The following is a 24,479-nucleotide window of genomic DNA, read 5'->3' on the forward strand; positions in this document are numbered from 1 at the left end:
TGATGTCTCTCTTTCCTGCTCTTTTACCTCAGCTGCCCTGTGAGCTACAGGACATGGTTCGGAAACATTTGCACAGTGGTCAAGAGGCCGCCAGCCCAGGTCCTGCTCCCAGCCTAGCCCCAGGGGCTGTGGTGCCTACCTCAGTCATTGCCCGAGTGTTAGAGAAGCCGGAGTCTCTACTGCTCAATTCAGCCCAGTCAGGCAGCGCCGGGCGCCCCTTGGCTGAGGATGTCTTTGTGCATGTGGACATGAGTGAGGGTGTCCCAGGTGATCCAGCCAGTCCCCCGGCCCCTGGCAGCCCCACCCCACAACCCAATGGGGAGTGCCACTCTCTGGGTACTGCCAGGGGCTCCCCGGAGGAAGAGCTGCCCCTGCCAGCCTTTGAGAAGCTGAACCCCTACCCAACCCCGTCTCCACCACACCCACTGTATCCTGGCCGCAGGGTAATAGAGTTCTCTGAGGATAAGGTTCGGATCCCCCGCAACAGCCCCCTGCCCAACTGCACTTACGCTACCCGCCAGGCCATTTCCCTGAGCCTGGTAGAGGAGGGGAGTGAGCGGGCCCGCCCCAGCCCAGTGCCCAGCACCCCTGCCTCAGCCCAGGCCTCACCCCACCACCAGCCCAGCCCAGCACCCCTAACACTCAGTGCCCCAGCTAGCTCTGCCAGCTCTGAAGAGGACCTGCTGGTCAGCTGGCAGCGGGCATTTGTGGACCGTACTCCACCACCTGCTGCTGTGGCCCAGCGCACAGCCTTTGGACGCGATGCCCTCCCTGAGCTGCAGCGCCATTTTGCCCATAGCCCCGCTGACAGAGATGAGGTGGTCCAGGCACCTTCTGCCCGACCCGAAGAGAGTGAGCTTTTGCTACCCACAGAACCTGACTCTGGCTTTCCCAGGGAGGAAGAAGAGCTGAACCTGCCTATCAGTCCTGAGGAAGAGCGCCAGAGCCTGCTGCCCATTAACAGGGGCACAGAGGAGGGGCCAGGCACTTCCCACACCGAGGGCAGGGCCTGGCCACTCCCCAGCTCCAGTCGCCCCCAGCGCAGCCCCAAGAGGATGGGGGTTCACCACCTGCACCGCAAGGACAGCCTGACCCAGGCCCAGGAGCAGGGCAACCTGCTCAACTAGGGCCCCTGCTGGCCTTCCTGCCATTGCTGCACCAGGACTGCAAGGAGTCCCCACACCTTGGCAGCTCAGGGTCCCCAGTCCAAGCCCTTGACCTCTCCTCTATCCAGACCCGCACAGCTGTTTCCTGTGTGGATGGGGTCAGGTTGTGGGCCATGCCAGGCCTGTCAGCTGCGTTGACTGACTGCAGCAGCTTGCCTCATGGTTTTCCCTTTTTCTTAGAATATTTATTCTTCAGAGGTAACATGCAGTTGGGTCTCAAGACCTTTCCTCCAATCAGCCCAACCCAGCCCAGACTGGGCTTTTCTGGGGAGCTGAGGAGTTTATCAGTATTCATCTTCCATCCTTTCATAGTCACAAGTTTTGTTATTTTGTTTTTTTTTGGGGGTGATGGTGTAATTGTTAACCTCATTTCCGTTTCCTACCTGTTTGCTTCCCCCCCCAGTCCTCCGCATGAGCTGTTGCCCTCCAGGGGCCTGGCACAGCTGGCCTTGGGGACGAGGGAGAGGACTGATTCAGGGCCCCCTCAGCTGTCTCCTCCCTCCCTCTGGAAAGGAGGGTGGGGCTCAGGGGCCTCAAGCTGGGCTCTGTGTGAGGCCTGGCCCCCACTCCCAACCTTGGCTCTAGACTGTTACTCTTAAGCTTTGAGAAATTTTCACATTGATGACTATTTTAAAATCAAATAAAACTATTTTACTGGTATGGCCTAACTTGTCTTAATGACCTCCCCTCTCCCACTTTTCTCCCCATTCATAAGTATTCCCAGTCCTAGTCTCATCCTAGTCGGCTAGTGACTCCCCCTCGCCCCACTCTGCCTAGGGTTTCCCTAGGCACAGAGCATCAGGGAGCGGGAAAGGGGGCACCTTAAGTAACCTTAGCAGGGTTCCTGAGTCTTCCCTCGGAGGCAGGGACCATATCTTTATGGGGCTAGTGTAAGGTGTTGCCTCAGAGGCCTGGGTTCTAGGCCTGGCCAGGCCTATTTTGAGATCCTGGACCAGGTCACGCAGCTTAGAGCTTGGGCTGTGCGATGCTACTGCCCCCTAGTGGTGCTTACTGGTAGTTCCAATTCCTCCCCTACTGCCGGCCCCAAGTGACTACAGCCACACGACAGGTTGTGGAGTTCATAAAATCTTTTCCGAGCCAGCGGGTTGCAGCCAGAGCTGCCAAGTTCAAAGGCATTGCCGTGGGTTCAAGTGCCCCCCAAGGCTGTTGCTCAGTCACAGCTTCCAGAGCTTCCTTCCCACCACACTGCCAGGAGCTGCCAGAGCCCCCATGCAGCCCCTGACCCCAGTTCCCTCCCAAGTCCCAGGGCCTGACCCTGATATCTGGGGCAAGGTGCTCGGGACATAGATAAGTGAAATGGTGTGCAGAGGCCCAGTGGAGAGTCACATCTCGGTCTCAGCCAACAGACTGTCCCCTAGTCCTGACGTCATTAGCACCATCTGAGAGCTGGGATCTGTGGAAGGGCAGAGAAGTGTTCAGACCACCATTCCTTCCTCCAATGGGGACCACAGATAGGTGAGAGCCTAGGTTCTGCACACCCACTCTCCCTTGTCCCGAGCCTCTTCCAGACCTGGCTCTGATCAACCCTCTGGGTTCTTACCGCTGGGGCACATCCAGGAGCTGCTGCCTCTCTGGTGGGCAGCAGGCTCCCGCCCTCTCTCCCATTCCTGGGTGTCGCCAGCCCCTCCTGCCACTTCCTCCTCCTCCTCTCCCTCAGAGAGGAGGTCACAGATCTGTTGCTGCAGCTCTGGGCTAATGCTGTTCTCAGCCAACACCAGGCTCCGCAAAGCTGTGGGGTAATTTTCTACCATGTCCAGCAGGGTCTGAAGTGGGGAAGAATATGGAAAAGGATGAACACAGTTAAGGCAGGTCCTCAGACCTCAACCTGCCATGCCTTAGGTATGTCATCAGACACATAAACTAACCTCCACCCCATCCCCTGGCCGTGCCCAAACATGACGACTTCCCACCTGAGCTGACTGGTTGGTGAGCCCTGTGCCCTCCAAGTCTAGGACCTCTAGGGTACGACTAGAGGCCACAGCTACAGCCAGCATTCCTGCCACATGGTCACCTGGGGAGACAACACACGTGCACACATTCATACACATGCCTGCTAATCCTTACAGATAGCTTCCCCATTGCCTTAACAACTTTAGATACTAATCCCTGGCCAAGGAAACATGGACAATTGGTGGTGGTCAGGAAGGGATCATTGTGATTGGTGAGTGAAGGCACGAAGCAAGTTAGGCCCACGGGTGGTGACTGATGTTTTGATCTATTTGTTGGTCACCTGGTCCGCCACAAAGCTATCTCCTTGACCCCTGGGGGCTCCCGTTTCTCTTCCCTCTCCCAGTGTACGGGTTACCATGTCAACTGATGGTCCCAGGCTCTTGGATAGGGCATGAGGCAGTGACAGCCCAAGGGGGTATTCTTGAGCCTCACCCAGGGGGTTGTAATCCAGATTGAGGACGCGGACCTGGGAGCTGTGGGCCACGGCAATGGCAAGGCGGCTCCAGCCCTTAGGGGTGATGCCAGGGTTGGCACTCAGCGTTAGCTCCTTCAAGCCTGGGCAGCATCATAGCAAGAAACCAGAATAGGGAGGGTTAAGCCCTCCTCCAGCCCTTCCCCACAATCCCTGTGTCTCTGGGGTGTCCCTAGTGGCTGGGCACCACCTTACCCCCACCATAGAGGTCAAGAGCCATTAAGGAGGCCCATGCTTCCTCTGCCTGCCCCAGCCTGGATTCCTGAGTCTCCATGCTGCCCCCCGTCCTGCCCCTTCCTGAGAGGAGTAGAAAGATGTTCTCGCCCACATCATCAGAGCTCTGGGGCCACACCCCCTTCCCTCTGCATTTCGATTTTCATCACTGCCACACTAGCCCAAGCCCTCAACAGGGTCCTGCTCACCAGATTTGGCCCCATCTGGGGGCAGGAGGCCACAGATGAGGTTGATGGCTTCATCACCCAGCATGCAGTCCCCCAGGTCCAGAGCCACGAGGGCAGGGTGGAGGGCCAGGGCTGGGTTCAGCAAGGCCAGCCCCGCATCTGTCAGGGGGCTCCCATGCAGGCTGGAGGAGAGTGAGAGAGCAGGGTTACTGCAGTCCTCCGCACTATCTACATGGGAAAGGGGCACTTTCACTTCTGTCAGCCCTAGGTATGGGGAGGGCAGTCACAGCGCTTGAGAGGCCTGGAAAAGGAGAAGGAAAGTTCTAGATTCTCAGGGAATACAGATAGAGGGAGAATTCGGTTTGTTTTCTGGGGCAGGGATCCAGGACATTGCACAGGGAGGGGCAGAGAAGGGGTGGGTGGGTGGTGGACCGGAACTCTGCAGTGGGCAGGGCTCTCGTCCCCACGGGGATATTCCCCCTTGGGAACCAAGGAGCTGCCCCAGTGAAGTAAATGCAGATGATTAGGTGGGGAGGTACGGCCCCCACCTCATGTCAGGAACTGGTGGGTATCCCAACACGGCTAGGGTCGCGCGTGCAAAGTCCAAGCATGTGCTTGGAGGGTGCTGTGAAGGCATGGGCCGAGGCACGGTGTATGTGCATAAGGCATGTGAAGGTAGGATGGTACTGGAAGGAGTGTGGAGGAACAGGAGGTGCCAGGGGAGTGTATGGAAGGGTGCAGTGCCCGGGACCCCCTTGCGAGGGGGCGCACTCACAAGAGGGACTGGATGGAGCGGTTGGTCCGCAGAGCCTCAGCCAGCTGCTTGATGCGGCTGGGGCTGGACACGACGCCCAGGTTAAGGTTGAGCTGCGCCAGGGACGTGGCCCCGGCCAGGGCCCGGCAGATGCGGCCAAAGTCGCGGTCGCAGAGGCGGCAGCCGCGCAGTGAGAGCAGGCGCACGGCGTTGTCGCGAAGGCCGCGGCAGATGTCCCGCACCTCGGCGCCGGACAGCGGCTCCCCCGAAATCTGGATGGAGCTGGGCAGCATCGTGCCCACGGCTGGGCCTCCGGGTACGGGGCCGGAACGGAGGTTGGTGGGGCCGCGGGCGGGGCCGGGGATAGGGCCGGGGTCGGGGCCCCGGCAGGGGTCGCGGGCGGAGTGGGGCCGGGGGTGGAGGCGGCGGCTGTGGCGGAGGCTGCGGCTGCGGCGGAGGCTGCGGCGGGGGCGGAGAAGAGCTACCGGGACTGAGCCGGAGCCGGCCAGAGGTGCGGAGGCGTCCAGGGCGCGGGCCGGGCTGAAGTGGGGCGGCGCTGGGGCGGGGGCGGCCCGCACGGTCCGTGTCTGGGCGTTGGGGCGGGTGCGCGTTCCGGGGGTTGGGCAGGCGCTGCTCGGCGCTTGTCCTTGTCCCTCGCGGTCGCGGCGGCGGCGGCGGCAGCGGCAGCGAGCGGCTCAAGGGCTTCGGCTTACCGGTCTCGGCTAGGAGGCCGTACCCGCTCCCTCCTTCTCTGCCGCCCGGCTCCCCCCGACCACCCCGCGGGCCTGGCCGCACGGCTGGCAGAGAGAGCCTGAGGCGGGCGGCTGGCGGCAGCTCCGGCTCCAGCTCCAGAGAGCGAGCGGGCGGCGAGTTCCCATGGCAACGGCCGCGTCACCGGCGCTCGCCCCGCCCCCTGCCCGGCCAAGGCCACGCCGGCCCGCGAGGTTCGCGTACACTGGGTGGTTCGGGGCAAGGAGCTGGGAGCGATAGGCCGCTCTTCCCTTGGGAGTGGGGTCAGCCAACTGGCAGGCGGCAGGCGGCAGGGCTGAGTGGGTAGGGCTGACGGGGAGCGGAATGGAGGCACGCCCCGTGGAGATGGCGTTGGGCACGGTTACTGCTGCTTCTGCCCATTCTTCCATCCTTCCCCGTTCCTAAGGTCCATACCCCCGCCGGAATCCAGGGCACTGTTCCCTCCTATTTGGAAGGCCCCAGGGCCCTTTCATCCGCGCCGCGCCTCGCTCCCGCCCCCGTGACTCGAGGCGCAGCGTGCGTGGTGATCCCGGCCCATGGGGACTTCCCCGCTTGCTCCTCGCCAAGATGGCGGCCTCATCAGGGAGGCCCCAGGGGCCACGGCTGGGCAGAGCCAGCTTGAGCTGCTGGGGAGAAGGGTACCCCATAGGGTCCCTAGGGCAGGGGAGCCTCAGATAGATGCAAGGTCCTGGTGCCACACCTTCTCAGGTACGCAGGGCACTGTTGACATCTGAGGGTGTGTCCGTGCCGCGAGACTGGGGCAGCCAATACAAAGAAGGTGCCAGGGCCAGGGCCCTGGAGCACTGGTGAGGACGTGAAGGCGGCTGAGCCACACTGCACGGTGCAGGCGGTGCTGTCTCAACTTTGTCCTCTGGCCAGGGTGGTGGGGGACTCACTTGTGTAACGCAGGACAAATGAAGGGCACCTCTGTTTGTCCCTTTGTTAGGAGGGATAGATGCTGCTGACCCAGATTTACTAGTGTTAAGATGATTATTTTACATAAAATATAATATTCAATATAGTGAAGGGAGGTCAAAGGCCCTATTCCCACTCTTAGCCACCTGAATTAACTTATTAAGTGGAGCATATTAAAGAGGTGGTGGGGGTGGATGGTGCTATGTTAGGAGTGGTGGTTGGTTTTAAGAGGAAAGACAGAAAAACTAAAAGGAGCTGGCCCCAGTACCACCAAGGCAAAGCCAAATTTGGCTTCAATTAAGAGCTCCACAGGAAAATTATCAACACAATGCCCAGGTGCAGAAGATCCTTGTTTTGACACGGGGTTTAAGTCGGGATGTTTTGTTCAATTGTCACTGCTTCCTTGGCTTCCCAAGAGAGCAGCTGAGCCCAGACTCAAGCTGGCTGCAGTGTTCCATCAGGCTTATGGCTTTTGTGCTTGAGGCCTCCCTGCCGCTTCATGGGTCAGGTGTGATATTCAATCACTGCCTTCTATGTAGTCTGGCCTGTCCCACCTTTATCTTGCCTGGGTGAGGATATGAAGAAGGGAACATATGACATTACCACTGTTGACTGAGTAGGAAAGTATATAGGAAGCGGGATGACAGGGAGGACCACTGGATCAGCCGCTGCAGTTCCAGACTTCAATCAACATTTTAATTACCAAGTCTATATTTAGCAAGACAATGTGGGAGAGATAAAGAGGAAGGAAGGGGTAGGTGGGGAGGGGTTCTCAAAGGAGCTGACCCATTTTCTGCATTGGCTGCAGAGCCTTGCAGTCCTGGCCAGGAGTTCTTGGCCTTGTGCCTTTCAGAAGTGCCGACAGGCATCAAGGAGGTACTTACGCAGCTACAGCTCAGTGGCAGCTGCAAACCCCATCTACGAAACATGTCATCAGGACTGTCCTTTAATAGTCTTCCTCCTCTCTGCAGCTGCGGGAAAGAGGACTGGCCAAGAATTTCAGGTGGGGTCAGTGTGACTGCAGGGTCACCGCAACAGCTTTGGCTGTGGCGTTGAGGACGGTGGTGGGAAGCCGAGCAGCAGGGAGCATGGCAGGGATGTCTCTGGGGACCCTCTGGATGGGCGGGATGTTGGGGCCCTCCAGTGTGTCCAGGATCCCTGGAAGGAAGATGGAAGGTGAGCGAGGATCAGATGGGCCCAGCCCACCAGCCATCATATCTAGCTTCTTGCTCTAGGCAGCTGCTTTCCCATTCTCCCCCACCCAGACCTTCCTGCCACTTACCCTCTACCACTTTGTGGTAGGCAAAATGCAGATAGAGCAGGAAGAGCATGTGTAGGGCAGCCAGGGTGCCACAGAGGAGCAGCCGCTGTGTGGGGCCCACGGTCCGAGACACCAACACTGCTACCTAGGACCATGAGAATACAGCTCAAAGGGCCTGGCTCCAAAGTGAGGAGTGGGGACAAGACACCCCCACCCAGGGCAGAACCATCTTTGGGCTCTTCCCTCCCATTTAGGGCTCTTTGTGAGATGGACAGCTCCAGGCTGTCTTCCCCAACTCCCTGGGAGGACAGCCCACCCCTGGAAGCCTCTTGCCCAGCTTACCATGCGCAGTGTGGACAGTCCACCCACCAACAGCCAGAAGAGGTAGAAGAGGGCGTGGAGGTGGATATTATAGGTGATGAACAGGACAATGCAATGCCCAAAGAGGCCATAGCCCTGGGAAGGAGGATGGTGGAGAGGAAAATCATTCAGGTTGGGCTGCTTTCTGGCCCCTCATGGGGACCCTGGGAAACACATGGTCCATTGGCCTACTCCTCCCATTCCAGGCTTTGGGGCCCCAGGACAGATGCCGACCAAGGCCTGGCTACTCTTTTTAACATCACTCTTGCCCACCACACCTGGCTCCTTACCAGCAGTGCCAACATCTGCAGCATGGTGATCTGGGCGTTGCACAGGTAGGCAAGGAAGTAAATGAAGGATGAGACTCCCAGCCAGTAGCCGAAGCAGGTGCCAATGGCTGTGCCCATCAGGGTGCCCTCCCGCTGTGGGGTGAAGGCTCTATTTAGTCCTAGGAGGCCTCTGATCTCAGCCTCACCTAGGGCCTTCCGCAGGGGCTGTTCCTGTCTCACTCCACCATTGTATCCTCAGGCAGCTTTCAACCTAGTGCAGCCACCCCCCCAAAGTTGTCTGTCCTGCTTACGATAATAGTGTCAGACGTCTTCATCCCATGGAGTAGGATAGCAACCAGAGTGAAGACCAGCATGAGAGGTCCATAGAGTTCACCTGCAATTTTCTGTCAATATACCAATTCATTCAGGCTGGAGGGTACAACAGCTCATCTGTTTATGGCTTCCCAGGATTTGCCTGGTGGTCCCACCCTCTGCCCTGGTGCTTCCCCCGGCTCTCCAGACATGCCACCCTCTATTCACCTGGGGGAAGTTGACCATCTTGATAGGGATCATGGACTCCAGGAGCCTGGGAGAGGAGAGGAGAGATTAAAGCAAAGGCAGCACAAGGCCATGAGGTTCTGGAGGGCAAGGCCTGAATTTTATTCATCTCTAACTCCAGGGAATGGGGCCTGGCCTAGAAGACATGTTGGATGACACGGTAGAACAGGGTAGTAAAGACAGATAGGGAATGAGGAAATCATTTCCTTGCCCCTAAAGTTACTTCCAGGAAGGACAACCCTCTGAAACTTAGCTGACTGAAACAGCAGCTATATGGAGAACTCAGCCCTACTGGGCCTTGAAGGAGGGCCCGACCATGTATCCGTCTGCCCCCTCCCCTTGAAAAGACAGGCAGGCTGGGCGCGGTGGCTCACGCCTGTAATCCCAGCACTTTGGGAGGCCGAGGCAGGCAGATCACAAGGTCAGGAGTTTGAGGCCAGCCTGGCCAATATGGTGAAACCCTGTCTCTACGAAAAATACAAAAAATTAGCTGGGCATGGTGGCGGGCGCCTGTAGTCCCAGCTACTCAGGAGGCTGAGGCAGGAGAATTGCCTGAACCCGGGAAGCGGAGGTTGCAGTGAACCGAGATCGCGCCACTGCACTCCAGCCTGGGTGACAGAGTGCGACTCCATCTCAAAACAAAACAAAACAAAGACATGACAAGACAGGCAGACCTCAGCAGAGAGTACCCAGAATTCAGGGTTATAATGAGGAAGCCCTGGGAAAAGTCTAGCCGGCTAGATGGAAAGTTTAGAATGAAAGGTGTTACTGAGGGAATAGTAAAAACGCCTCCTCTTCCTGCTTATCTGTGCCTCCAGGCACTTTCGAGTATTTTCTTGAAAAATATATGTGAAGTGGTATGAAAATTTAGTCACTTCCCTCTTCTCTCAAGTGGCTAGCTCCTAATCATACCTGGGATTTTAGCTAGGTTTTACTTCCTCTGGGAAACTTGTCCTGTCCCACCCACCAACCTGCTTTGGCTCACATATCCCTCCTGTGTGCCCCATCATAGAATGAGTACTGTACTGTAACTGCACTCAAGAGCAAGGCTCCCATCTATCTTCACCACTGAACCAGATACGATTAGTTTAGCGTCTGGCACAGAGCAAATGCTTAATAAATACCTGCTGAGTGGTCCTGGGTATTTGATTAGCATTGATTAAAGGATGAACAAAAAAACCAAGCCAGGATTAAATCTAGTTCTTGAAAAGTCACTCAAAAACTATGCCCTGATATTTTGATTCTGAGACTGTTCTGGTGCTGGGAATAAAAAGATAAACAAGACAGAGCCTGCTTTTGAGATGCTGTTGGTCTCTGGAAGGAAGATTCCAGGAATAAGAAAGGATAGCAGTGGTGAAGTGCTGTCTATTAGAGGCAAGCGCAGAGTTCTTTTTTTTTTTTTTTTGAGATGGAGTCTCACTTTGTTGCTCAGGCTGAAGTGCAGTGGCACGATCTCGGCTCACTGCAAGCTCCGCCTCCGCCTCCCAGGTTCATGCCATTCTCCTGCCTCAGCCTCCCGAGTAGCTGGGACTACGGGCACCCGCCTGTCTAATTTTTTTTGCATTTTTAGTAGAGACAGGGTTTCACCGTGTTAGCCAGGATGGTCTCGATCTCCTGACCTTGTGATCCGCCCGCCTCGGCCTCCCAAAGTGCTGGGATTCCAGGCGTGAGCCACCATGCCCGGCTGGCAAGCACAGAGTTCTATAGGAACACCAGGAGAGAACAAACTGGGGATGGGATTGAGGAATGTGGAACAGAGGAAGTGACATCTGAGGTAGGTTTTGAGGGAAGATGAGTAGTCAGTTAGATGGAAAAGAAGAGGAAGATGGTGTGCTATTATTACTTGTTTCAGTGACAGGTGCAGTGATGAGAGGTGATGGGGTCATGAAGACGGGGAGCCCATCAGAGCCCAGGGCTTGAAATCTGACTGTAGTGTGCATGAAGGTCTAGGTGTTAGGAGGGAAGCTTCTTCAAGAGAAGGCTCCTCACCTGCTTCGCACCTGAGCAGGCTCCACATCAAAGTAGGGTCTGAGGATGTCGATGTTGGCGTACAAGCTGAAGGCCCTGGAGGCTTGTCTTTTCCCAGCCTGCCACATCTGAAGTAAGGAAGATGGGCATAGGTATTGTGGTACTGTTGGTTCTAGATCCTGTTGCCTATTTTCCGTTTGATTTCTACATGGTTCTAACTGGACAACCTGGGGCGAACATCACCAACACCAATTCCAGAACACGGGACATACCTAGGTCTACTTTTCTACCTGCAGAGGATTCAATCTTGCTTACCTGATCTGCCACCTGCCGGCTCAGCTGTCCCTTAAAGCCCTTCATGCCCAGGAACTCTCCATCCTCCTCTTCAGCAGCAGCTGCATCAGCTGCATCAGCGTCTACTTCTTCCTCGCGCAGGCGCTGATGCAGCTCACCCATATCCTCGAAGCTAGAGCCTGAGGTATCATCCATGTTCTCCATGTCAATCACAGCTGAGCCTCCGCCCTGTGAAGACAATGGCTCCTAGAGTGCAGGACTTTTCTGTTCCATCCATTAAGTCCTCTGCTCATCCCAGGGTTTAGGGCTTTGTTCTTCCACTGCTGAGGATACGGCTTGGAATCACTACAGATCATGCCACTCCATTCCCCCTCATATGCTCTCAGAACGCCTGGTTTCTAGCTTTGGCTATCTTTTCTAGCCTGGGAAACCTACTAGTCTTCCATTCATGTCTTTCTCCTATGTTACCTATCAAAGACTAAAAGGCTGAAAAAGTGCCCATTTCCTTCTTTCCTAAGCCCCAAACAAAACTATACACATAGTATGTTTTCAGCGAATGCCAGTGAATCCCACCCAACCCCACTCCATGCCTTACCCCGACCAACCTCCTAACTTGTTCCAAGAATACCTTCTTCCTAATGCCTCGGGCGGGCCCTGAAACCCGAGATCCTCAGGCTGGAGTAGTAGTCTGGCCCTTTCAGGTCAATGTTAATCCCACTGACTTTAGTGTGCACGAAGACCCAAAGAAGAGAGTTTTGTAAATGGAGCGGACTTCCAGGCCCAGAGGGGGAATCCCCAAGACACTTCTGGACATCGCCGGCCCTCCGGCTGCTGGCAGCTGGTGCCTTGGGGCCATTACCTGGATGTTTTCTTCGAACCCTCCCCATTCCGGGCCAGCTCCATTTCGGGCGCCGCCCGCCGGCGCCGCTGTAGTTGCCATGTCCCTTGAGGGCTCCCGTCGCTGAAACCCGCGCTAGCCCCGCGCGCGGAGTGGGCAAGATGTGGGCCTCCGGAAGGTAGACGTCCAGGGTCGAGGAGAGGTGGGATCGGCCGGAACACAAAAAGGAGAAGCCCGGATGTTTGGACAAAAGCAACTTCCGGAAGCTGGGGACGTGGACGGGGGCGGGGAAAAATCTCGCGATATTTAAGATTCCAGGAGGCGGTGCGTTGCCACGGAGACGGAGCAGGGCTACTAGGACGCACGCGCGAGATAGAACCTCTAGTCTCGTGGAGAGATTGAAGATGGCGGCTTCTCAGGCGGTGGAGGAAATGCGGAGCCGCGTGGTTCTGGGGGAGTTTGGGGTTCGCAATGTAAGCCTTGTGGCCTTGAGCTCGGGCGGGAGGAATGAGAGCGGAACAGGGATGGGTCTTGGGATTGGCGTGGGGATAGCTGTGGGCTCACTGTCCCTTCGTGGACAAATTCGTCCCTTTGCTCTAGGTCCATACTACTGACTTTCCCGGTAACTATTCCGGTTATGATGATGCCTGGGACCAGGACCGCTTCGAGAAGGTAAGTGGGGCCGGAGTTGTCTGGGGAGGGTTATGAAGGCCAGACCTTGTGGTCTGAGCAGCCTGTGTCTGTCTCAGAAGCTGCTCTTGGGGGTCGCTCCGTTTGTAAGTTTGTTGAGCAATGTGCTAGACGCTCCGTTTACAGGCCAAATTAGACACGGTTTCTACCCAGTTCTGCAAAGATGTTCAGTCTTGTTGAGGAATGGTGTGTATAAACAGTGAATCTAGTGTAATATGGTGAAGGTGGTTGATAGCGATGAAGACGGCAGGGTTGGGGTGGGGAGCATTACGCTGAGACCAGGAAGAGGGGCGGAGAGGTACTTAACATTTCAAGAGGAGGGTACATCTCAATTGAGCCTTGAATGGTAAGTAAAAAAGAACAGGAGTTAAATTATGAAGGGTTTGTTTCAAGTCAGTGAAGTTCAGGATATACAGGTTTTGTGTGTATTTAGTCTTTTGTATTGTTTCACTTAGCTTAAAATAAGGGTTAAAATTGCATTTAAATAGATTACTGAATGTTACCGTTTAGGCAACTGACCTTTGCGTGCAGCTTATAAACATGATCTGTAAATCAGTGCTTGGGAAAATTTTACTTTTTTAACCTGTTGATACAAGGAATAAAGTATGAACAATGAAAAAGGTTAATGCTTGAAAAAAAATTATGGCTTGTGTGAAGTGTGCTCCGGGCATGTCCAAGTAGTTCTGGCATGAGTGGTAGGCAAGGTTGAAGTGTGTCTTGGGCACTGTTGATGATAGGGAGATTGAATAGTTCTTAAGCAGACATGATGAGATTTGCAACCTTGGTGGCTGGGAGGGAATGAGTTTGAGGAGGATCATATGGAGCAGGCAGATCTGTTGTAAGGGAAGCTGAGGTTGAAGACATGAACTAAGACTGATGGTAGAAATAGAGCAAAGGTAGAATAGAAGGTAAATTTATGATTGCTTTGGTAAAGGCTGTGGGGGTAGCATAAAATGACTTTTTGGCTTGGGAACTGCTTTGATGCATTGTGGTATCATTTACTGAGAGGAGAAATGGGTCTGGGGAACGGGAATGATGATGCATTGTTTTCTGCATGTGGAGAAATCTAGCAGGCTAGAAGACTGCATGCTTGAAATGAGATCAGAAGTGAGATAACATTTTGGGAGTTGTCAGAACAGATAGTTGCTAAAACTGTTAGTACAGTTAAGGTGACCTGGGAGAGAGACAAGAACCTGGCAAATTTAGAGATGGGTGGAAGTCGATCATCAGAGAAGGAAGAAGAGTGGAGCTCAGAGCTCAGAAACCAGGGGAATAGTTCAAAAAAGGAGGAGATTTTTTTCTTTGCTTTTCATGAGGCACTCTTATGTCCCAGGCTGGAGTGCAGTGGCGCGATCTTGGCTCACTGCAACCTCCGCCTCCCGGGTTCAAGCAGTTCTGCCTCAGCCTCCCGAGTAGCTGGGACTACAGTCATGCGCCACTATGCCCAGCTAATTTTTTGTATTTTTGGTAGAGACGGGGTTTCACCATGCTGGCCAGGCTGGTCTCAAACTCCTGACCTTGTGATCTGCCCGTCTCAGCCTCCCAGAGTGCTGGGATTACAGGTGTGAGTGACTGTGCCGGGCCAGGAGGGGGTTTTTTAATCAATGCCAAGCATAACAGAAGTCTAGTAAGAGGACTGAGTAGTGTCAACAAAACTAAGCACTATGGTAGTTTCTGTTCTTCAGTAGAATAGCTTCTGTGGATGGTTTGGTTGGAAGCCATATTGCATAGGGTTTTAATGAATGGACGACAAAAATGGAGACTTTTCATGAAACTTAAAACACTGGGCGAGATAGAATATTTAATAAGAGACATTTGGGCAAAGGGAGGTTTTTGGATGAGAGGATAATACTTGAGGGAATTATCTAAGGGGGAGGTATGAAGAGATATTACACAGAGAGCAGATTTCACTTAAATGTTTTTTCCTGTCCCTCTAGAATTTCCGTGTGGATGTAGTACACATGGATGAAAACTCACTGGAGTTTGACATGGTGGGAATTGACGCAGCCATTGCCAATGCTTTTCGACGAATTCTGCTAGCTGAGGTATTGGCAGGCATGGTGACAAGGCTGGAGTTGCTTTGGGAACTGCACTGACACCTCACTTGGAGAATTAAGTGTCTCAAGCTGTCCTTCCCTCCTTAATTTTCCTGGAATTTTGCTGAGCATTTTACCTTCTCATTCTTTGTAAATTTCTCATTAAACATTCTAGGAAGAGAGATAGCTCCCTACCTCTGGAGGTTGGGGTTACGGGGATAGGTAGGGGGTCTGTTGGGTTTTTGCAGATAAGTGGTTATTTTTCCTTGGGCAGGTGCCAACTATGGCTGTGGAGAAGGTCCTGGTGTACAATAATACATCCATTGTTCAGGATGAGATTCTTGCTCACCGTCTGGGGCTCATTCCCATTCATGCTGATCCCCGTCTTTTTGAGTATCGGAACCAAGGTGAGAAAATGAAATTTTGGGAGAAGTGGACTATCTGGGTTCAAATCCTGGTTGACTGTGATGTTGGGTAAGTTACTTATCTTTGTACATCAGTGTCTTTCATCTGTGAGAACACTTGCCTTGTCTCCCAAGTTTGCCATAATTAAATGGGAAACACGTAAAGCATTCAGCATAGTGCTGGCACTCAGACGTTTACTAGTTCTTAGGAGCTCCCTCCATTTGTGCAGGAGATGAAGAAGGCACAGAGATAGATACTCTACAGTTTCGTCTCCAGGTCAGATGCACTCGGAACCCCCATGCTGCTAAAGATTCCTCTGACCCCAACGAACTGTACGTGAACCACAAAGGTGAGTAGTGGTAGGGTGAGGAAGAGGCCCCACCTGTGGGTAGCTGCTAGTTTTAGGGACTGAGATCTTCTGACATGTTTTTCCTCCAGTGTATACCAGGCATATGACATGGATCCCCCTGGGGAACCAGGCTGATCTCTTTCCAGAGGGCACTATCCGACCAGTGCATGATGATATCCTCATCGCTCAGCTGCGGCCTGGCCAAGAAATTGACCTGCTCATGCACTGTGTCAAGGGCATTGGTGAGAACCCTGTGTGCCTTCCTGGGAAGGGGGATAGTTCGGTTGCAGTGGGGCAAGCTGACTAGGGAACTCAGCTGAGACATTCCCGGCAGGTAGAAAGCCAAGAGGGTTGTGCTTTTGCTGTTAGTAGCTTAGGAGGAGTATTCTTCCTAACCCTAGAAGGGTTTCCTATAGGCACGTTCCCTCTTCCTCTCCAGGCAAAGATCATGCCAAGTTTTCACCAGTGGCAACAGCCAGTTACAGGCTCCTGCCAGACATCACCCTGCTTGAGCCCGTGGAAGGGGAGGCAGCTGAGGAGTTGAGCAGGTGCTTCTCACCTGGTGTTATTGAGGTGCAGGAAGTCCAAGGTATGGTATTTGGGATGCTGTTCAAGTTAGGACCTAAATTATATTTTCTTTCAAGGTGACAGAAATAAAAACCCTGGGCTCCTAAAAGTATAACCTGGTTTGCTACCAAGTGGCAAATTAGAAAAAGGAATAAAAAAACATGGTTTGTTCTCATTAGGTAAAAAGGTGGCCAGAGTTGCCAACCCCCGGCTGGATACCTTCAGCAGAGAAATCTTCCGGAATGAGAAGCTAAAGAAGGTTGTGAGGCTTGCCCGGGTTCGAGATCATTATATCTGTGAGTATGAAGTGGTGAGATGAGTGGGCAGTGCTCTTTGGTGCTGCAGCTTCCTTCCAGTCTAGATGTGAAGTTTATGAGTAAGTTTTACAGGCAAGCCCTGCCTAGACTAAAGTGTCTCTTTGGTCCCCAGTCTCTGTTGAGTCAACGGGGGTGTTGCCACCAGATGTGCTGGTGAGTGAAGCCATCAAAGTACTGATGGGGAAGTGCCGGCGCTTCTTGGATGAACTAGATGCGGTTCAGATGGACTGAGCTTGGATGCTTCTGAGGCAAGCTGAAGCTTTGGGTTCTGACTGACCCACCCTACAGGACTGCTGAACAGAGAGCCCAGTGTGACTAGGGATCCTGAGTTTTCTGGGACAATTCCAGCTTTAATCAATACATTTTGTTAAATGTGCCATAAAATGAGACTTTTTACGCCTTTATAAGGCCTTAGATGTAAATAAACTCACCCAAACAAAAAAACTTTTTGAGACTACTTTTGAGTTTGTTTTTTGAGACAGTCTCACTGTGTTGCCCAGGCTGGAGTGCAGTGGTGCAATCTCAGCTCACTGCAGCTTCCTCCTGGGTTCAAGCAATTCTCAGGAGGCTGAGGCAAGAGTAGCTGATGCTACAGGCATGCACCACCACACCTAGCTATATGTCTAATTTTTTGTATTTTTAGTAGAGACAGGGTTTCACCATGTTGGTCAGGCTGGTGTCAAACTCCTGACCTCAAGTGATACGCCTGCCTTGGGGCCTCCCAAAGTGTTGGGATTACAGGTGTGAGCCACCGCGAAAAACAGGGGGCCTCACTTCAGAACTGGTTTAGCATTTACCAATTAAGAACATCAGATGTGCACTCCAGCCCGGGTAACAGTGAGACCCTGTTTCAAAAACAACAGAAAGAACACCTCCTGAGAATTGGCAAATTAAGGTGGTTTCTGGGAGCACAGCCAAACCCTAGAAAAACATTCAAGCTAGAGTGAATGTGCCACTTCACCTATCTCCTGGTTTACCAGGGAAGTTCATGTTGCTATTGACAGCTCCAACAAAGAACAGTAGCAATTCCTGTGGGCCAGGCCCAGCAGCCACACACGAAAGACACTGTGAGAATGGTATGGGCTGCCTAGTCTGGGTATGTCAGGAATAGAAATCCTTTTCTAACTGGCACACCATTTCAGAAAGCTTGAAAGACCAGAATCATCAGTCACATTTCTTCCTGTTTTAGTCCCGGGTGCTCATGAAGTAACCCTGGAGTATGTCACTGGTTTTAAGACTAGGTTGAAAAAGGCAGATGGGTCCCTTTCTGTACGAAACTGAGATTTTTACTGACATGCAGATGTGCTTTAGAGTTAATGTTTCTACAAAAAGTTTCTATAAACAATAGAAAATTTCTAGCATGAAGTCACAGGATGTTAAAAATATTACAATGCAATAAATACAACTACATCCTCCACAGCCCCAACCAGACAGGAATAGGCAGCTATCAGGTTTGGAGGGAAACACTCTTGAGATCGCCTTCACGATCCACAGAAACCCAGAGCACCACACAGGAAGAGGGAGCAACACAAGACTCCCAACTTCTGCTTCCCCAGCTTTGCTTCTTCTCAATCTGACCCTGCCTGTGGCCCGCACCAGCTAAAAACTGTAGCTTCAGTCCACTTCGGCTCTCGGGGAAACCCTCTTGTCAGTGGACTGGATGGACAACAGGTCTGTTTTTGTGCAGAGCACATGGACACACTGGTTTCTGTATGGATTAACTCTGCCTTACGGCCAGTAATAACCTCAGGGCCAGGTCCCGTATCCATGTCCTCTCTTTACAGGGCCTTTCAGTGACCTCTAGAATGGACTCACAGTACAGGTTGTGATGTGAAGGCATGTATTCTTTTGGAAATGGCCTTTGAGAAAAGTAACCAGGGACCTGAAAGACCATGAGATTGTGGAAGGCACCTGGACTTAGTCCTAGGAGAAGACCAGCGGCTTTGCTAGCTGCTCATCACAGATGTAGCCTAGTTGGTCTGTATTATCCTTGGATGACAACGGTGTCATGTGACACTATCTAGGGTACTGTGGCTCTTGTGCCTGAGTGGACCTTGAGGCTGGGGAGGCCAGACTGAGGGGTCATTCATGGAAGGGCAAGATGTGTGAACTCTAAAGGGGATGTTAGCACTAAAGACTTCCCAGCCCTGGTCCTTGGAGGTACTATACTTGATACTGTGCCAAGTTTAGCAGTAGCCTGTACCATGGATCCCATCAGGTGACCAGATTCTTGCCCAAAGCAAAGTTGAGAGAACTGACCAAGTTCTCTTCAGCACTTAGCACCTAACCCAGACATGCCCCTTAGGGAGTGGGGAAAGTTTCCTGCCAGCCCAGCAGCAAAAGGGCTCAGTGGGAGTTGGAGTGGTCCAAGAGAAACTCTGGCACAAGTAGTTGAGGGCTGTGCTCTTGCTGCGAGCCTTGCTAGTCGCAGGGTTGGGCACAGCACCCTTAGTTACCATTCTGTACAGGTATGTGGCTGCACGGGGGTGGGAGGGCTTGTGGGAGAAGGGCTGCTCTGCTCTAGCTTTTCTTGGAAAAGCCAAATCTCCAAGTAGAATGGGAACTATCTGGGACATCTAGACAGAATAGTTTAAGCCCTAACTCCCTTTCTTGATACTTTAGTATAATTACTTCTGGTCCTGCACAGGGCCTGTTCTCTCCAGCTCCAGACCTGGATCTCTTTCCAGGCTGACAGTGGTGGAAAGTGAGGTGGCAGTGCAAGAAGGGCCTAGAGATCGGCTACAAAGGGAAAGAAGAGATGACAAGAAAGGCCGAGGAAGGATGCCCAAAAGCTTGATTCAGGGTTCAAAGATGGTGGCCAGGCCACCCCCATCATTGTCCAGCACCTCCGTCTCCAGCATTGGCTTTGTTTTTTTGAAAAGTGAGGGAAGATTCTTAATGTGAACTTCTTTTCGGAACTGCTCTCCCAAGGGTTTCTGTGGAAAACAAATGAGAAAGAATTAATGCTGGGCCCTCAGTAGTAGTTAAAAGATTCTCTTGGCCCGGCGCAGTGGCTCGCGCCTGTAATCCCAACACTTTTGGGAGGCCAAGGCGGGTGGATCACCTGAGGTCAGGAGTTCAAGACCAGCCTGACCGACATGGAGAAACCCCGTCTCTACTAAAAATACAAAAAGTAGCCAGACGTGGTGGTGCATGCCTGTAATCCCAGCTACTTGGGAGGCTGAGGCAGGAGAATCGTTTGAACCTGGGAGGCGGAGGTTGTGGTGAGCTGAGATCGTACCACTGCACTCCAGCCTGGGCAACAAGAGTGAAACCCCATCTCAAAAAAAAAAAAAAAAAAATCTCACCATAATGGTCAATAACTACAGCTGGTTTATGGTTTGCCCATACACATGATTTAAGAAGGGGGTTGGGAGCACTATTGAAGGTGCATGACCTACCCCAATGCAACCAGCAATGAGGCGTTTGAATTGGTCCTTTCGGCGCTTGTCAGCCACTTTCTGCAGGGAGGGGTTTAAAAGCTTGCAGTCAAACTGGTCCAGTGAGTCCTTCTGTATTTCAGGGATTTGCTCCATTACAGCTCTTATCTCCAGGTACCTGGGGCGCTGATATCAGCAGGGATAAACTTACTGGATGTAGGTTTGGATATTGCCACCCTCCCCATTTCCTGCCACACCCATTTCTCAGAGATTGCACCAGCAATTTGGCAGGTGCCTGAATTTAGGATAAGGCCCAAGAGACTAGGAGCAGACTGAGTGATGAAGCTGCAGCCATCCTTCCCCCATGCCTTCCCCACTCACCAGTGCCTCGTATATCTGGAAGGCCAGATGGACCAGGGAAGCCATGCACCCGTCGTGCTGCCCGTGCATCTGTAAGCCTTTCAGCACACTGGTGAAAAGCCACGTAACTGCATCTGCGAGCAGTGTCCCTGACAGCACCTGGGGAGACAACTGTGCTTTAGGGCCACAGGGGGCCTCTCTCAAGGCCTCAGCACCCCAGTTCTTCTGAATGATTTAGTCAGTCTGCATGACCCAAACCTTCCATGAGGGGCAGGGAAAAGGGGTGAATAACCATACTTGTTTGAGGAGAGGCCAGCAGAGCTGTGAGGTTGTCCTCTGGCAGGACAGAGTATCTTTCCAGGCCAGGGAATTGAAGGCTGTAATTAATAGCGCTGTACAAACATCCTGAACAGGAAAAGATGAAGAGTTACAATGGAAAAAGAAGCACAGTTTTCTCTGATGATTATTACACATCAGGAGCCGGAGGGTTTTTTTTTTTTCCTCCCCCCCTCTAAAGATGGGTTTGTTTTGTTGCCCAGGCTGGTCCTGAACTCCTGGGCTCAAGCTATTCTCCCATCTAAGCCTCCCGAATAGCTGGGACTACAGGTGTGTGCCACCATGCCTGGCTTAGGAGCTGGAGTTTTAAATAGCTAAGCAGGAAAAATAAAAGGAGTTTACTTCCTCTATTTTTGTGTATTGCCAGTCAAAAAGAAAAAATCAAAATGTGAGAAAACCTGTATGTGTAGGATGGAGACAAAGCTCAGGCCTGGCTTGGGGAGGCTAAACACCAGGGATCTGCATCAGTGTGCCTACTATGTGTTTTCCTGAGAGCTCCTGCCTATGCTGGTATGGGAGACACCATGGCATTGCACCTTTTCCCTCGGTTTTTTCTGGGGCCTTTGGAACCAGGAACTTATGTAACAAAGGAGTATTACAAAAAACTCTTGATAGCACCATAGAGCAAGAAAAGTAAAAGGTGACTCCCCACCTGGGCAAGGAGTAAAGGTATCACCTGCTCCTTCTACCCACCTCATGCTTCATCAGACATTTGCCCAGGTCTGTAAGCTCTGCCATAGCTGAGGGGGTGACCTCTGTGGCCATCATTTCTTCATCTGTTATCAGAGAGTAGAATGTTAAGCTCCATCCTTTCAGAACAGAGAAGAATATCTTGTTCTGACAGAAGCGCAAAAAACAAAGCAAAGCTGAGTGTTCTAGGCTAAGTGGTGGCTAAGTAGTACTAGGAGCCCTCCCACCTCCACATAATGCCCATGCCCATGGCTGATCTTCTAGAGATGCACTCAAGCTGTACATGAGGGAAATGGGAGCTTCTAGGCAGAAACACAAAATGCTGCAAATACTGAAGTTACTTTGTTGTTGGACAAATATTTGAGCACCAGACACTGATTTAGTTACTGGGGATAAAAGGTATAGGACAATAGGTCCCTTCCCTGATGGGAGTTTACATTCTAACATGGGAGATAGGTAAGAAAGGAATACATAAATAAAAACATAATGTTGGGTAGTGACAACTGCTATGAAGAAGAATAAAGCAGAGGAATACAGAGTAGCTGGGGTTGCCATTTTTGATAGGTTGGTCATGGACGATCTCTGGGAAGAGGTGACATTGGAATAAAGCAAGAGAAAAGATCACATATATGGTTGGGAGGAAATCATCTGAGACAGAGGAAACAGCAAGTGCAAAGGCTTGGAGGTGGGAGTATGATGGAGGCACACAGCAAGAGGGCTGGTCCAGAGATGATAACTACATGTAGGGTGTCTTCTCCTCACCAGACTGCAAGGAAACTGACCTGGTTCAGAAGGAACAGTATTTAGGAGGCTAAGAGCAGAACTCCAAGGTCTCACAGGCTCACTTACCGTCTCCATCTGCTGGGGGAGCACTACTGTGGTCAGCACCCTTCTTTGAAACACAGCAAACCGCTAAAGCAAGAAAGCAGGGTTACTAGGTGAAGGGTGGGTATATACTACCACAACAGCCACCTCAGGCCCACTGATCCCAACCTGTCTCTGGCCAGGTGAGGAAGGAGGAAGATGGGGGTACCGTCCAAGGCACAAGAATTAGCTTCACCAATAGAAATAGAGGCATTCTGATGACCGAACTGTTTTGGTCCTTCAAGTTCAACTAGCTGAGAGAAAATTACAGAATTCTCTGAGAGTGAGTGACTAGGAAAGGATGCTTGATACATCCCTGGTCTACTTTGAATCTCAAACAAACAAAATGACACAGTAAAAATAAAAAGAAAATTAACAGCCTCCATGTCCAAGAATTTAAAACATTTCCCTATTTTGACAAAACTAGGAAGTTATTCCTAATGAATCCAAATTCCTTCTGCTATTTTTGTTTCCCCATATTCAGCTTGCAATTCATAAAGTATCCTTAGGTTGACTTAAGGACTGCCTTGCTTCTATCTAGTTATTTCTTTTGGATCTGTCAGTGTTGCTACAAACATGAACTTTTTTTTTGAGACGGAGTTTCACTCTTTTGCCAGGCTGGAGTGCAGTGGCGTGATTTCGGCTCACTGCAGCCTCCGCCTCCCGGGTTCAAGCGATTCTCCTACCTCAGCCTCCTGAGTAGCTGGGACTACAGGCCTGCGCGCCACTACGCCCAGCTAATTTTTGTATTATTAGTAGAGACAGGGTTTCACCATGTTGGCCAGGATGGTCTTGATCTTTTGACCTCGCAATCCACCATGCCCGCCGCAAACATGAATCCTTTGCATTAGTCAGGCCTTCATGGAGTTGGCTGAGCGACCAGCTCTTCTTCCAGGAAAATCCTCTATAGCCCCAGTTTCGACATGCCACTTACTGATTAGGTCCATGACTTCTCGGGTTAACATCCTCACCAGTTGCTCCTCCAGCATCTCTTGAGACTCTGGGTTTTCATCTGCAGCCTCATCTTCTCCACTGCAGAAAACCAGGGGGCCAAGTTCCACAGGAGTGCAGAAAAGGAAGGACAAGGAAAGCAGCGACCCTAATCAGACTCTCTCTGACCACTTTCTTCTCCTTTGGGTCTTCGTTTTATGCAAAAGTTGGGAATGGACAGCAGTGATCCACTGAAGGACATTATTACTAGTGACTCTGTCCAGTTGGATAGACATTACAGAATTAAAATAAGTGAGTAAGGTAACAGTAGCCCCTATGAAGGCTGGATCTCAGAGTCTGCCTGCTGGTAACAGCCTGTCCAGACAAGCCATGTATCACCTAGGCTGAGAATGACTACAACCTACTGCTCTTCTACCCTGGGACAGCAGAATCCCTGCCCGCTTCCTTTTCCCACCCCAAACCTGGCTGCCAGTTCATCCACCAAGAAGAGTGGGTAGGTATCCCTTACCACAGCAGGCTCCTTTGGTTGATAACTTGCCATTTCTGAGAAAGCCTCTGGGAAAACACAAAGGAAATAAATGCTAGAATTGGGGAAAGGATTGGAACACATAATATCTAAAGTCAAGTCCACTTCATGATTAAAATTAGCCAAGGATGATTCTAGGCATCAATGACAACTTCTGTAGACTCCACACCACAAGGTTAAAAAAAACATCTATGGTTTCTGTAACCTATCCCACATCCCTGATGAAGGTGGTATCTCAAACACCTCTTTGCTTGGAAAGAATTAACAACATTTTTAGAATTCCTGGGTCTCTAGACATACCTGTTCTCCACCCAGCTGGTCCCCCTGCTTAATTCTAGAGTAAGGATAACAGACCCAGCATTCCTGGCAAGGGTCTGTGAGCAAGCATTCCTCTTTTTACCTCTCCTCAGTTAACAGGAGGTTAGGAGCAGAATCTGCAACTGAAGCTGTCTTGTGGCAATTAAATCAGTTTAGTTCTTTGGGGGCTGCTCGATCCTACAGCAAGGATAGTCAGCTGGGGTAGAAGCTCTGCCCAGCCAGTCTGGCAGGGCTAGTAGACAACACTTCTAGGAGCTCCTGACTTGCAAAGCTCAGAAATGGCCAGAGGCCTTAATAGTACTCTTTGCTTCCTGTTCCTGACTTATCTCTTACCATATGGAGGTAGGTGAAAAGAGGTCCGAGGATGGGGGATACCAGGGCTTCATAGTGCTCTGGGGGACAGAAGAGCACCAGAGGCTTTACAAAGACACGTGCTGCAACAAGTTAAGAAATTTTAGTGCATAGGCACACATCTCTCACCTGCCAGGTGGTGGGTTGCACCCCTGGGCAGAATCAATCCCTAAAGGATTTGCCAGATGTCAAAAATATCCTGTGTTAACAGTGAAAAAATCTTAAAGTTCTTTTCCTAAAATCCTAAATGGCACTGATATTGAATTCCATTATACTCTTAGTTTAGCTGCATTTCCGTCAGGCTGCACATTATGGTCACTGGCCCAAAAAGTAGGAATAAAAAAATAGGAAGGAGGACATCC

General features: G+C 51.8%; 5 protein-coding genes across 67 annotated transcripts in view, besides 3 other annotated features; 2 read left to right on the forward strand and 3 right to left on the reverse strand.

Annotated features, from left to right (window-relative positions):
* Positions 1 to 1,826, forward strand: part of TJAP1 (tight junction associated protein 1) — a 28,985-nt gene extending 27,159 nt beyond the window's left edge. For all 58 annotated transcript variants that reach the window (NR_146793.2, XM_017011489.2, XM_047419532.1 and 55 more), the window contains one exon: positions 33 to 1,826. Coding sequence is in view for 57 of the 58 variants with exons in the window: in XM_017011489.2 (XP_016866978.1) it covers positions 33 to 1,127 (1,095 nt within the window). In the remaining variant the exon portion in view is untranslated. The remainder of the gene's footprint in view (positions 1 to 32) is intronic.
* Positions 1,827 to 2,239: 413 nt separating this feature from the next.
* Positions 2,240 to 5,618, reverse strand: LRRC73 (leucine rich repeat containing 73). 2 transcript variants are annotated; one of them, NM_001271882.2, is made up of 6 exons: positions 5,478 to 5,618; positions 4,032 to 4,192; positions 3,570 to 3,692; positions 3,098 to 3,198; positions 2,728 to 2,950; positions 2,240 to 2,580 (listed from the first exon to the last, which is right to left on the reverse strand). In NM_001271882.2, exons 2-6 carry the CDS (start codon positions 4,093 to 4,095, stop codon positions 2,510 to 2,512), a joined length of 582 nt encoding a protein of 193 aa, NP_001258811.1. In that variant the 5' UTR covers positions 4,096 to 4,192; positions 5,478 to 5,618; the 3' UTR covers positions 2,240 to 2,509. The 2 variants fall into 2 exon arrangements, with proteins under 2 accessions (NP_001258811.1, NP_001012992.1); NM_001012974.4 differs by having other exon boundaries at positions 4,786 to 5,618.
* Positions 5,196 to 5,465: a silencer, noted in NCBI's record as "silent region_17233". NCBI's record gives its function as "represses an Ori minimal core promoter by ATAC-STARR-seq in GM12878 lymphoblastoid cells {active_cell/tissue: GM12878}" and the evidence as "EXISTENCE:reporter gene assay evidence [ECO:0000049][PMID:35858748]".
* Positions 5,486 to 5,775: a silencer, noted in NCBI's record as "silent region_17234". NCBI's record gives its function as "represses an Ori minimal core promoter by ATAC-STARR-seq in GM12878 lymphoblastoid cells {active_cell/tissue: GM12878}" and the evidence as "EXISTENCE:reporter gene assay evidence [ECO:0000049][PMID:35858748]".
* Positions 7,104 to 12,198, reverse strand: YIPF3 (Yip1 domain family member 3). 2 transcript variants are annotated; one of them, NM_015388.4, is made up of 9 exons: positions 11,999 to 12,198; positions 11,161 to 11,367; positions 10,867 to 10,973; positions 8,860 to 8,905; positions 8,631 to 8,723; positions 8,341 to 8,472; positions 8,033 to 8,146; positions 7,712 to 7,835; positions 7,104 to 7,587 (listed from the first exon to the last, which is right to left on the reverse strand). In NM_015388.4, the coding sequence occupies exons 1-9, from the start codon at positions 12,077 to 12,079 to the stop codon at positions 7,439 to 7,441; spliced, it is 1,053 nt and encodes a 350-aa protein (NP_056203.2). In that variant the 5' UTR covers positions 12,080 to 12,198; the 3' UTR covers positions 7,104 to 7,438. The 2 variants fall into 2 exon arrangements, with proteins under 2 accessions (NP_056203.2, XP_047274564.1); XM_047418608.1 differs by having other exon boundaries at positions 11,161 to 11,462; positions 11,768 to 12,198.
* Positions 11,938 to 12,487: an enhancer, noted in NCBI's record as "active region_24602". NCBI's record gives its function as "activates an Ori minimal core promoter by ATAC-STARR-seq in GM12878 lymphoblastoid cells {active_cell/tissue: GM12878}" and the evidence as "EXISTENCE:reporter gene assay evidence [ECO:0000049][PMID:35858748]".
* The window catches only part of POLR1C (RNA polymerase I and III subunit C), a 45,319-nt gene continuing 33,200 nt past the window's right edge, over positions 12,361 to 24,479 (forward strand). For 2 of the 3 annotated variants that reach the window (NM_001363658.2, NM_001318876.2), the window contains exons 1-8: positions 12,361 to 12,450; positions 12,578 to 12,649; positions 14,605 to 14,712; positions 14,978 to 15,110; positions 15,338 to 15,457; positions 15,547 to 15,699; positions 15,897 to 16,046; positions 16,204 to 16,320. In NM_001363658.2, the coding sequence (NP_001350587.1) occupies positions 12,382 to 12,450; positions 12,578 to 12,649; positions 14,605 to 14,712; positions 14,978 to 15,110; positions 15,338 to 15,457; positions 15,547 to 15,699; positions 15,897 to 16,046; positions 16,204 to 16,320 (922 nt within the window). In that variant the 5' untranslated portion in view covers positions 12,361 to 12,381. Of the gene's footprint in view, positions 12,451 to 12,577; positions 12,650 to 14,604; positions 14,713 to 14,977; positions 15,111 to 15,337; positions 15,458 to 15,546; positions 15,700 to 15,896; positions 16,047 to 16,203; positions 16,321 to 16,453; positions 16,786 to 24,479 lie in introns of those variants that run through there. The other variant, NM_203290.4, reaches the window with a different exon arrangement.
* XPO5 (exportin 5) overlaps positions 17,606 to 24,479 on the reverse strand; it is a 53,705-nt gene continuing 46,831 nt past the window's right edge. For both annotated transcript variants that reach the window (NR_144392.2, NM_020750.3), the window contains 9 exons: positions 24,100 to 24,197; positions 23,431 to 23,477; positions 22,906 to 23,003; positions 21,957 to 22,019; positions 21,111 to 21,193; positions 20,379 to 20,486; positions 20,103 to 20,240; positions 19,743 to 19,907; positions 17,606 to 19,277 (listed from right to left, as the gene is read on the reverse strand). Coding sequence is in view for 1 of the 2 variants with exons in the window: in NM_020750.3 (NP_065801.1) it covers positions 19,140 to 19,277; positions 19,743 to 19,907; positions 20,103 to 20,240; positions 20,379 to 20,486; positions 21,111 to 21,193; positions 21,957 to 22,019; positions 22,906 to 23,003; positions 23,431 to 23,477; positions 24,100 to 24,197 (938 nt within the window). In the remaining variant the exon portion in view is untranslated. The remainder of the gene's footprint in view (positions 19,278 to 19,742; positions 19,908 to 20,102; positions 20,241 to 20,378; positions 20,487 to 21,110; positions 21,194 to 21,956; positions 22,020 to 22,905; positions 23,004 to 23,430; positions 23,478 to 24,099; positions 24,198 to 24,479) is intronic.

The sequence above is a fragment of the Homo sapiens genome, chromosome 6 (assembly GCF_000001405.40).
Source record: "Homo sapiens chromosome 6, GRCh38.p14 Primary Assembly".
NCBI lineage: Eukaryota > Metazoa > Chordata > Mammalia > Primates > Hominidae > Homo > Homo sapiens.

Coding starts and splice junctions, on each gene's coding strand:
- YIPF3 (NM_015388.4), bottom strand. CDS start 12,079: ATGGCAACTACAGCGGCGCCGGCGGGCGGCGCCCGAAATGGAGCTGGC. Junction 8,906..10,866: donor CCTGCTCAGGTGCGAAGCAG/GTGAGGAGCCTT, acceptor CTCCTCTCCCAG/GCTCCTGGAGTCCATGATCC. Junction 8,147..8,340: donor TGCAGATGTTGGCACTGCTG/GTAAGGAGCCAG, acceptor CCTCCTTCCCAG/GGCTATGGCCTCTTTGGGCA.
- LRRC73 (NM_001012974.4), bottom strand. CDS start 5,057: ATGCTGCCCAGCTCCATCCAGATTTCGGGGGAGCCGCTGTCCGGCGCC. Junction 3,693..4,031: donor CCCAGATGGGGCCAAATCTG/GTGAGCAGGACC, acceptor GATGCTGCCCAG/GCTTGAAGGAGCTAACGCTG. Junction 2,581..2,727: donor CTCCTGGATGTGCCCCAGCG/GTAAGAACCCAG, acceptor GCCCTTCCACAG/ATCCCAGCTCTCAGATGGTG.